Raw genomic sequence first — 12,502 nt, 5'->3', positions numbered from 1 at the left:
GAGGCTGCAATGAGCTGTGATCATGCCACTGCACTCCAGCCTGGGCAACAGAGTGAGACCCTGTCTCAAAATAAATAAAGTGTATTTGTCTTGAGAATACTATGACTTGGCATTATTTGGTGACTGAAGGTCATGGAGTCTTTTTTTTTTTTTTAATTTTATAAAATTTTTGGTAGAGATAGGGTCTCGCTGTGTTGCCAAGGCTGATCTCAAACTTCTGGCCTCAAACAAACCTCCTGCCTTAACCTTCCAAAGTGCTGGGGTTATAGATGAGCCACTGTGCCCCGCCATGGAGTCATGTGATACACATAGTAAGCTGTCAGATATTTTTGATAAGTTCAAATAGACACCAAGTAAAAAAAGATTCCCATTTATTCTCCCCAGCTTGCCAACCCCCTAAATTAAGTAATGAAATGAAACCAGCACCTTTTCAGTATATCTGACTTAAAATCATTATTTATTCTGACCCATTTAACTGTTTGCAGGATTTTTTCCCTAGAGCAGACAGCTATAGGCCTGTATCATTAAGGATTCTCAAATAAGTGAACTATTGAAACCACATAAAAGCCATCAGTTGCAAATTCTACTTCTCTTTGTTTAAGTAGCTAAAAATGAAAGTGGTGGAAAAAACAGGAGATAAGCATATTAAGTTCTCTACTAGTGCTGAATCTTTAAATGACTAGCTAAGCAGCGAAGAAGAAATCATTCTAGAATGCAGTGCTCTGGATCCTGCTTTGTTATAAACAGTTATAATAGCATTAAGTTAACAGTATTTCACTTAAACAGCTGGACAGGTGGAGAAAACATTGTTTCAGGAGTTAGGCTTTGTAATCTTAGACTTGAGGGTTTTCTCAATTTCTCTTTGTTTATGATAAAGAAAAACCCTATTACTACTCCCTTTGTTTTTGGTTAAAAACTGAAAATAACTGATTTTGAAATCAAATAAACCAGTGTAATATAAAGCCATCCATGTGTTCTGCTAATCCCTTAAAACCTATCAGTTGCTTTTGTGTATTAAAGGTCTTCTCCACATGCTTTTGTCTTCACTTTTGCCTAACTAACAGATGTGCGAGTGCCAGAGGATCACCCAGAGCCTCCAACTTGCTACCCACTGTTTTGCCACCAGAGTGAATACCTATTTCCTTGTTTCCCTCAGGGCCTGGCAGAAAAGAACTGCCTTGACTGCAGTCATATGTCATCCCAACATATTCCACTCAAAGCAGTACAAAGTTCCATTGTTTAAGTTTTTCAAAAGGCAGAGTTTGACTAGAATTTTTTTTTATCAGTTATAATACTATACTATTCTTTTTTTACTCTTACGGTTTTTTCCCAAAATAATCTACTTTTAAAAACCTATAATTAATTATTTCAGCCAGTATCTGCTGCATATCTTATTCCTTGCTAAACACTTACACGTCTTCACTGGGAAAGCTTGCAGTCTTACTGAGAGATTAAAAATAATCATAGTGCAAAGAGATTCACAGTTAAACGCTAAAAATAGTGGTAAAGACATAAATACTGGAGAAGCTTATAGAAAGATGACCTCAGAATGAGCAAGAGTGGTCATGGAAAGCGTTGTGGCAAAGACAGGGCAGAGAAGTGGCCACGTACTTAGTGCTGCCACACATACATTCAAAGCCCTGCTCCACACCTTGCCCTGGCCAGGTCCACCTTTGAGGTGATGACGACAGTTGCTGAGAAAAGAGAAAAGACCACTGGCTCACTACTTGTTTCTGCTGCTATAATAGAGAGGAGAAAATGATGAAATGCTCTTTTTACCTTCCTGTTTGAAGATTGCCTGGTCATAAAAGGGAGTCAGAGGTCTGACTTCTCCATTTCCATCCCTTAGGGGACTCTTTAACAACAAAAAGAATGTATTACAAGTATGTCAAGCTGATAACGCAAGGCTTTTCCTCCTGGAAGATTGCTGTAGGTGATGAGTTTCTAATCCCAAATATATTTGCATTTACCAGGCTTTTGTGAGTTTAAGAAGTTATCTATCATATCTTTTTTTTTTTTTCTATAGAAAAATGCTTGTTTCTATCAAGAATGACTCCTTTATAAACTGGGGAGTATCTTTAAGAGTGGTTTCAACCCTGACTGTATAGTATCATCTGTTGAGGAGCTTAAAAAAAATATGTAGGCCCAGCCCACACTAGACTGGCATTGGTACCTGGTATCAGTATTTTTTAAAAACTTCCCATAGGATTCTAATGTACAGCCAAGATTGAGGACCATTTGTCTGTCATCTGGGATTATGCTTAATAAATTAATACTGTTTTTTAAATTAATTAGATTTCACTTCTAAGTCATTATCAGTAAATTTACTCAGTATCTAACTGACAAGAATTTCTAGCATATATTTCTTGATTAGTGCATGTAAAATTCTAAAAGAATTTCTATAGTATTTTCCAGGCAATAAGACAACTAGTGCCCCAAATTTACCAAATGCATGAGTCTAAGCCTGTGCTATATATAAATATACTCAAAGCCAAGTTTACATCTGTGTACACAAGTGTGCATGCATATGTACAATTAAAGACTATAGTTGTAACAGTCATGAGCTTGTGTTTTGATTTTACTCCTATTCCTGTATTGTATTAAGTGTACTATCATGTTCTTGAGGCATATCTCCAGGAGATATGTTTATTTCTTTTCCAGGAAAAGTGGGACATATATAAGTAGGGTAAACGCTAGAGCTAGATACTCCTTTAATCTCTATTACGTCAGATCTCTGGCTCCCTTTTACAACCAGGCAATCTTCAATTATAGGTGGCTAATAGGGAAGAAAATCATCGGCAGAGCAACAGCTTCATGTAATTTCAGAGTAGAAAAATGAATTTTAATCTTCTGAAAGGTAATATTAGAATTAGCTGGATTGCTACACTTAGGAATCATAGGTTCCAAATAAATATCAGTACATACGGAAATCAGATAATGGGACAGATTATTTGAAATTAGGGCTGCCTAGAAATCTGGAATGTGAGATCACCCTCCTTCTGACCAAATATGCTTGAATAAACTTAATATTCCAAATTATGTGAGGGATTGCCTATTGTGCAAAAAAAAAAAAACGAAATCTGAATTTAAAAAAAATTACCACAGTCTAGTATTATTTTAGTCTCTTGGATGTTATAACGTTATCTGTTCCATCTGTTGTTAATATGAGACACTGTACAAACAAACAACTATATTGATTTAGAATCAGTATAGATCACCTAGCTTTTTGTCTCAATTTTCCTACTTTAATGCTCTTGGGGCTTTCGCTTTTGATTTTCAGTTTTTTCCTTAAAATAATTAATATTGTTGAAATTAGACTTTCTAAATTTAAATTTATCAGAATTTCCTATGTAAAATGAGTCTAGGCACCAAATGTTTAATGACTTTAAAAAAAATGTTTATGACTATAAAAGGAAAAACCCTGTATCAATTTCAAGCTTGTTTTATATCCAAAGTGCTAGTTATTTTGTGATGAGAATATATGCCCCAAGAACATTTTTGAAAGACATATAATTAGTAACTTTTTTATTTTTCAACTTACATAAAATAAACTTATTACTTGTTTCACAAGTTTGAGTTTTCAAAATAATATTTACTAAATGGCATATTTATATACATCCAGCTGAACTTTTTGCTTGAATTGGGTTTCTACATTTTAAAAAGTCTTTCAGTAATATACGATTTTTTTATGAATGTTTTTCATTTAATAATTATGAAATCAAGTAAAGCTAAAAGGAATCTTAAATTCCCAATATGATATCATTTTTTTCTTCTCAAAAGTAAGTAGTAATGAGGTTTTACTATAAACTGTTACAGCATTCTTTAAAACGACAATGACAATAACATTTTCATCATAATACAAATTTTTGCAGATGAGTTGAATATATCAATGAAAGAAAAAAATCTACTTTTTCTTGTTTCCTTTCACAGGCAATGATACCGTCTTTATCCAAGTTACTCTGCCCCATGGCCCAAGTTAGTATATTTGGTTTAAGACTCATAATTCTTGCTTTGGCTTTAAAAATCAAACCAAGTGTAACCTTTCCTGCTAAAACTCTTCTTGGGTCTGGCAGCATTGGTACCTTGCTTGCAACATCCTAGAAGTGAGGCCTTCACTTGTGCTATCTTTAGATCATAAGTGATTTGCTTAAATTTATATATTTCTCATGCTTTTTATAAAACCTTGTTTCTCTCTTAAAAGAACATATTAAATAAGTGGCTTCCACATTTAACCATTTCTTTTTTCCAACTATAGAGTTCTAAGTATATTTTAATGCTCAACTTTGAAAAAAAAAAAAAGGCAAGAGCATGCATGCGCATATGGGAATGCTGGCAGCTACATGCAGTTTCTAAATCACAAAATATACTTAGCCTGATGGCAGGATAGATTATAGACAACTGCTTTTGACTTTAGAAGAACTTTCTTATAATTGTAATTATTCAAAGTATAGCCTAAATACTGATAAACAAAATAAAGTTCCATTTTAATTGTAAGGTAAACTAACAAGTCACTAAATTCCATTATTTTAATTATTTAAGCTAATATTTTTTTGCTGTCCTTTCATACAATTTCAAAATATGTACAATGGAAAATACTAGTTACAAGCTGAATTAACTATATTCTTAAGAAAAAAGGTAGGTGATCAAAATGTTGATCATTTAAATAATATCAGTACACAAAGTACTCTTTTTAAGTTCTATATTTTATAACATGTGACAAAATAAAAAGCTTAATGCTTAAAGGGAAAAAAAACTGCCAACTATAATTTTGAATGATGGTTTAAGTATTTTTTTCACATCTTTTTTTATAGTAGGTATAAACAACTAACTTAAGTGTTGTTTTCCAAAGTGTATTTATATGCCTACCTTATGTTCTTGTTACCATAAATGTCTGTAAGAGAGGTTCTAATTAGTAGCTTTACTTACTTTTTTTGTGCCAGTCCACCAACTTATTCTTAAATCAGATTCACTAGATTTTAGTGTAATTTCTGTTTTCATGGTCAGGGCTGCCTCCGTTGTCTTGAATAGTGCCATCACCGTTAAAATTTTTGGATTTAGAGTATAATGAGCCTCTTTTTGCTTACAGGCAAAGGGGAGCCTATAACTAAACAAAATGAGGAGAGGCCCCTCACCTAGACACTATGATTCTTTCCCTTGCATCCTTTGAGAGAAATGCTAGGGAGAGACATTGGAGAGAGTGGTTAAGAGCACACACTCTACTCCCAGGGACTATCCAGTAAGGTGGGGAAGTTCTATAAATTCTAATAAAGTCAAAGAAAAAAATGAACCCATTATAGAATCTAAAAATTACCATTCCAAAGATTTTCAGTAGCTCACTGTCTCCCAGACATCTGAGAATCAGACTCAATTAAAAATTTCAATAATAGAGTAACCATGGGAATGTTATTTTGTTCAGGCAAAATAACAGAATACCTTAGGCAGCTTTTTTCTAAATATTCTGCTAAAAAATGTCTGCATGCTTTTATGGCAGTTTGCTTTAATGAAATACTATTCGGTATTGGTTTATTGAACAGCTTTTGGTATTTCTACACATTACTTTTAATTATAAGCAATTTCCAGCTAAGACTTTTCAAGGTAAATAAATGAAATAAAATTCCTGTGGACTTTTTCTTAAAAATTTAACATCCCACAGGATCTGCTTCTGTATCATCTATAAGTTTAACCAAAGGCACTGATGAAGTGCCTGTCCCTCCTCCTGTTCCTCCACGAAGACGACCAGAATCTGCCCCAGCAGAATCTTCACCATCTAAGGTAAAGTAAGAAATCTTGTTGTGTAGAAATTGGAATCATTACAGTTCATTATAATAAACGGCTGTCTAGTTTAGTTCTCACTAGGATAAGTTAACATTTCAGAGTATACAGGCTTAATAGTTTAAACAAGGATTACATATAGATTTAGCATGCAGTAATGTTTCTTTCTTCTGAAGGTAGTTTTTTGGTATGCATTCAAGACCCTTGTAAACCTAAGGCTATGGTTATTTTCAGAAAAAAACAAAAGTTTTAATCTGTAAAGTAAGAGGAATTTGGTTTCAAGCAGTTCTTTAAAAGCATACAGAGAAAGTCCTGAAGCTTTGTATGAAGGCACATTATAAGTCAAACTGTATTTTGACATATGCTAAAATTTACTTATCTGAGCCCTTAATAGTAAATCTGACATACTTTTAAATGGAGTTTTCATGAAAATTCTGGGTTTGGAAGAGACCCCAAAGGCTCAAAATAGCTATTATTTCTACTTATTTAATTTTGTTTTTTTCTTTTTGGCCAGCTGTTAAACTTAATTCATTAGTTCTTAAGCTGTCCAGAGTGCAGAGCACCAGGATAAGTCAAGACAAGACACTCTTTGTAGAACTTCATGAATGTTAACATAGTTAACTTAAAATTATAAAATAGGTACTTTATGCTAAATTAGAAATGATCTTAGATTGAGTGATAAGCTAAGCAAGCAGTAGCAAACAAAATTTTGAGGAAAAAAATTTAAGTAAAAACTACGGCAAACTTTTTTTTTCTATGAATTGACAGAACCTCCCATTTAAAACATATGCCAGCCTTGGCAACAGAGCAAGACCTTGACTCTACAAAAAATGAAAAAAATTAGCCAGGCATGGTGGTACATGCCAGTGGTCCTTGCTGCTTGGGATGCTGAGGTCGGGGGATCACTTGAGCCCAGGAAGTTGAGGCTACAGTGAGCCATGATTGCACCACTGCACTCCAGTCTGGGCAATAGAGCAAGGCATTGTCTCAAAAAAAAAAATTTTTTTTTAATTAAAAAGAAAACATATGGCAAAACTCCCTGTTCCACACTTAGCATCCTGCCAATAGCATGTTTGAAAACCCCAACTTAATTCTTATAGTCATGATACTTCATAAATTTATTAATAAATGTGTATTTTATTCTTTTCATTTGTTAGATTATGTCTAAGCATTTGGACAGTCCCCCAGCCATTCCTCCTAGGCAACCCACATCAAAAGCCTATTCACCACGATATTCAATATCAGACCGGACCTCTATCTCAGACCCTCCTGAAAGCCCTCCCTTATTACCACCACGAGAACCTGTGAGGACACCTGATGTTTTCTCAAGCTCACCACTACATCTCCAACCTCCCCCTTTGGGCAAAAAAAGTGACCATGGCAATGCCTTCTTCCCAAACAGCCCTTCCCCCTTTACACCACCTCCTCCTCAAACACCTTCTCCTCACGGCACAAGAAGGCATCTGCCATCACCACCATTGACACAAGAAGTGGACCTTCATTCCATTGCTGGGCCGCCTGTTCCTCCACGACAAAGCACTTCTCAACATATCCCTAAACTCCCTCCAAAAACTTACAAAAGGGAGCACACACACCCATCCATGCACAGAGATGGACCACCACTGTTGGAGAATGCCCATTCTTCCTGAGTTCCTCTGTACTGGGATGTATATTTTCCTAGCCCCAAATCCATTGCTGGCAATGGATGCACTGAATGTGCCAGCACTGAGGAGTTAAAATGAGAACTCCAAACACTAACGACTCTTCTTCAAGATGCAGTATAAGACAATGAATTTTAACCTAGATGTAATTATACAATGGAAATGGTATTCCAGTTTAGAATATGGAAAGACCGACCTAGAGGAATTGGACAACTGATTGCACCTGAAAATCATAAAGGGACTTTTTCTGGCCAATAGGCAGGAGTCCTCTTTTTGTGAAGTGATCTTTTGTGAAGTGATCATTAAAGGGATGGAAAACACAGTCTAGTGTCCAGCAGGCCCACATGACAGTTTTTGTAATTCAAATTATGCACTTTTAAAAAAAAAAACTTAAACAGGGATCTTAATATCTTCCTTTGTTTTCCTTTGCTTTACTCTTCTACTTTAGAATATTTTCTTAAAAATCACTCAAAGGACTGTGAGGAAAGGCTGTGGTACCTGACCTTGTTGAAATCAAGGCCCGGCACTGTACTACAGGCCTGTTTACAGATTATTACGGTGAACTGAATGGGTACCGAGGCTTCACCAAAGAGGTACTTTTTTGTTGTTGTTGTTGTTTTAGGAATAATTGTACCAATTTTAAGAGCATTCCCCCCACCTGTCCCCACACACCCAAACAAAATGTGGTGGTGTTGCCTTCAAAAAAGAGAAGTTTTGTGTCATTAACATGACAGAAGAACTTTTTAAAAAAAAATAACTGTCAACTATTCTATTTGCATTTAGGAGACTGTTCATCTATGCTAGATTGTCATTTTCCCTCCTTCTCCCACAGAAGTTTACTGGTAGTCCATGTCATGGCTCGTAGCTATCCCTCTAACCATACCATGGAAATGCAGGCACCCAATGTGAAAAGGAGCACTTGCTGGGCATCACTGACACCGCTCATGTTTTACACATAGTTGAGTAATCAGCATATCTAGAATTATCTTGCATTGCCTAAATCATATGTATATAGTGAATGTTATATAATATACCTGGCAGGTCTGTTTTAATTTAATTGAATAAAGATACAAATACTTTGTTTGGCTGGCATATATTAAATTATTATATGAAGAAAATGGTTGATTCTTATTTCTTTTAGTTGAAAAACACACAAAAACACTAAACATAAAAGCACGTTTTGTGGTACGCCTTGGTTTCTAGTTCTGGATATATGTATTAATCTTAAAGAATGATCTAAAGTCACAGCTTGGCATATAGGAAGATACTTGGTTAGAATAGGATGGGTATCTTTTAAGCAGAACTTTGTAAGTAAGTTTTAAGTTCCTAAGCAACAAGTATACAGTTTGTTAAGGTTTATATTGAACATTCTACCTTGCTTGAGGTTTTCTGCTTTATCAAAACTATTCATAATAGAACATCTACCTGCATCATTACTATCATAATATGGATTATTCATAAAGCGTATGTACTGTTCTTCTGAGTCTAACAAATACTGTGACTGAAATGCATGCACCTTGTTGAAGAGAAAACATTTTATTAATCTCCACTATAATGTCTGTGAAATGTGCAGTATTCCATCCTTAGAGAGTTTATCTGGTTCATCAGCATCTGCATGTATCCTCTGAATAATGAAGCAACATTTCAGCAATTCTGTTAACCACACCATTAGAGACATTTTTAGAAGTGCTGCAACATGGTGGGAACCTAGTACTTTAATAATTTCCTATGATATTTATTAGAGCATAAAATGTACATCACGATAGTACAGTATGTAGTCCTTTAAGACCAGAAGGTATGTTAACTGCACCATCATTAAGCAGTCTATCCTATTTTCTTATTTATTTGTTAGAATTGAATCCTTTCTCAATATCTGTACCATTCCTATGATGGTAGCCATTCTTCTCTTTATAAAATATTTCCTCTTTGAAAAGCGTCCTAAAACATTAATTTCAAATCCCCTCTTGGATGCAAAGTGTCCCTAAGACCATCCATTCAACAGTATTTATGTGAGCCAACTTACTAGAGCCGCTACAACTAATCATGATAGACAGTCCAGAATCTCCCTGGACTTTATACTGGGCCAGCCTCATTGTCCCTAAGATTTCTCTTTTTATGTCTCATGGATTACTTCTCTTTTTAATTGCCCCAGGCACATTCCAAATGAGAACCTGGTAAAAGTCACATTGGACCCCCTTCAGTATGTCTTCGGCTAATGTGTTAGCCTTCAATAAGGTGATAACCCCTTTTCAACCTATCTAGTCTATAAAGAGGAAAAATTCAGATTTGGAGTTCTAATCCTATTTCTCCCAAAGGGAACTATTCTTCTACCCCATGGTTCTAGGAGACCACTTCACTGTGCAACAGTTTTACATGCATTGTGGATGGAGGATATTTTTATTCTGAACTGTTACATTTAGGTAAAAATATTTTCTGCAGTGGTAACTGATTAGAAAAATGCCAATTGGATGCCCTTAGGTGGAGGTGAGAAAATGGCATCCTTGCCTTCTTCTCAATATGAAACATTAACTAGTTGACAAATTTATCCTTGTAGTAATGAAAATCTATTTAATCAGGGACCAGAAATGGCTGAGGAGATAAATGCATCATTACAAAATTCTGCTTTTGAATCCTGGACATTACAAGGGGGTAAATGCAGCATGACTTTTTGTTAACCACATTCCAAAATGTGGAACATTTCTTTTAGAAATGAAAATATTTCAAGGCTGATGTATTTTAAGACTACACATTATCAGGAAACATACATTGAGAGTTCGCTTAATTAAAGGTTGTTGGGCATCAAATTATGTTTAGTAGGTTACTATTCTCTAACAACTCAAGGATGCTTTAATGGATCTGAATTTGACAAAGAGCATGCCACACTAATACTACAGTCAACAACAGCCCAGAGAACAATTACTATGTCAGCTGGAGGCTATATTATGATTCTAAATTCTTAAAGGTTTTTTTCCCTCCATAAATCAAAAATTACCTTATGTAAACCAAAAATTAGTTGGTATTTATGGTCATGATCTTAATTCTCAAGTTTAGCTTAATCTTGTATTTCATTGTTTGTCTTCTAATATGACAGCTTAAATTCAGATTTTTAAGTGACTCAGCAAAATAGGAGGAGTGTCCCAATTTATTAGTGTTGTACATATTGAAGAAAACCTTTTTGTTCCTTCAGATTTAGAAAGAAACAGTTTAACCATTTATTTCTTGGTATTCTGCTGCTGTGAATAGGTTTACTTATTCTTTTAACATATATTGTGTGACTACGCAAGTATAGGTCCTGTTGTATTGCATTAATCTTTACCAGTAACTAAACATCACAAGGTTAATATTGGTTTGGCTGAAAGAATTATGCAGTAAAGTTATTTATAAGGGAACATGATGACTTTATTCAATATTTTTCTTCTTTGAAACATCTCATTACTAACTTTTAAGATTATTTCATAATCCCTTATACATGAGCCAATGAAATATTTTGAGCTCTACTTAAGAAGCATGAAGTCTATATTATAAATCTAAACAACAAAAGCACTTGTAACTTGTTTAGTAAATTCCATGCCTTATTTTCCATTTTTGACACCGTAAAGTGCATTTTCTGTCGACTGTGAGCAAATTTCCCTTTTGCCTTTAATGAAAATAGTGCATTAAGTAGCCAATTGCTGCAGAATTATAAAGCAAATTAGCTAACAGTGGGTCACATTGGACTACCACTCAAAGAAACAAGATGCATAACAGATGATGGAAGGTACATGTGGTGTGGCTTAGGGAGAGCGCACCTGTGCCAGATGCATGCCACTTTCAGTAGCTGCCAAATGTGCCTTTAATTAAGAACATCTCTAATTTTTTTCTTCAGATCAAGTCAGCATTTGGGGTCGGGATTTGGGCAGGGAACTTTGGGGTGCAAATATCTGGTGAAACCACCAGAGAATTTGTTTGTCAAAGTGACATGTATAATTTTAGTTGAGACGTGTTTGTGTATATATGTGTATTTGCCTTTGTTTAGTAGCACGGTTATTTGCTAAAATAATTGTCAAAAAATTGCTCTGTCGGTCGGTCTTTGATGTAAGAACAAAGTGTGGTCTATACATCTAATATGGCCTTTGTACCTAACCATGTTCATAGGTAATCTTTGTACTCTGTGTGCAGCAGTATTTGGTTTGCATTTAAAGTGAAAATAACGGCTGTTATTTTTCTGGCATTACTAAGATAAACTGAAAAATAATAAAGAAAAATGCCTTACATAGCCCACAAGTGTATTATTTTTGCATGTATTTATTTTAGAGGGCAGTATTTTTGAAATCATTAGTGATTCTCATTTAGCTCATATATGCCATATAGAAATATTTTGCATTTTTATTGTGGTCTTTCTTTGGAGGCACTTTTTTCCTGTATCAAGTTATAAAAGGATAAAAGAAGTTCCACATTTCCTCTGTGTCAAATCTGCTGATTGATTGTAGTGAGTGGGAGGCCTCTGGGATGAAAACTAGTAATTTAAAGTGACCTTGAGTGTCACCTGGATGAAGTTTCAGAGTGCTAAGGCATTTGTATTCCATAAAAGAAGTTTTGAGATATCACGTTCCCTGACAGGCAGCTTTTGCTGAGATCTGCTGGAATGAGGTAGCCTGACCTTTAGCAATTCTTTTTCTAGGCTTGGCATGAAAATGTGAGTTTAGGGTTGTAACTAAAGAATGATGCAAATGTACCGTCATTCAGTGTGAACTATAGGATGTAAAAATTGATGAATCCTTAGAGAGCCAATCCCCTGATTTAAAAATTAAGGTAGATGAGGCCTAGAGAAATGAGATGACTTAGCCAATATCATGTGGCAGTCCAAGCATGAATTATCGAGTATATTCTAGGTAATAAATTTAATAGTTATAGGACAATAATGTTTTTGTTAAACTTGATTCTGAATTTTCTCTTGAATTATCACTTATTCTGAGCTTTAACCCAGTGATTTACTTTTTAACTTATTTTAATCCTCTTAGGTCATCGCAGATTAGTCTGTTTGGTACAGTCCATAGTTAAGCCTGCCTTTTTGCTGATAGCTGCACATG

At 34.9% G+C, this 12,502-nt stretch overlaps 1 protein-coding gene across 10 annotated transcripts in view; it reads left to right on the top strand.

Moving 5' to 3' along the window:
* SOS1 (SOS Ras/Rac guanine nucleotide exchange factor 1) overlaps window positions 1–11,696 on the top strand; it is a 143,320-nt gene extending 131,624 nt beyond the window's left edge. For 6 of the 10 annotated variants that reach the window (NM_001382394.1, NM_005633.4, XM_047445582.1 and 3 more), the window contains 3 exons: window positions 3,931–3,975; window positions 5,654–5,772; window positions 6,930–11,696. In NM_001382394.1, coding sequence (NP_001369323.1) covers window positions 3,931–3,975; window positions 5,654–5,772; window positions 6,930–7,421 — 656 coding nt within the window. In that variant the 3' untranslated portion in view covers window positions 7,422–11,696. The remainder of the gene's footprint in view (window positions 1–3,930; window positions 3,976–5,653; window positions 5,773–6,929) is intronic. The other 4 variants (XM_047445581.1, NM_001382395.1, XM_047445583.1 and 1 more) reach the window with 3 other exon arrangements.

Source organism: Homo sapiens, chromosome 2 (genome assembly GCF_000001405.40).
Source record: "Homo sapiens chromosome 2, GRCh38.p14 Primary Assembly".
Classification (NCBI taxonomy): domain Eukaryota; kingdom Metazoa; phylum Chordata; class Mammalia; order Primates; family Hominidae; genus Homo; species Homo sapiens.
This window is presented reverse-complemented; position numbering and strand designations above follow the sequence as displayed.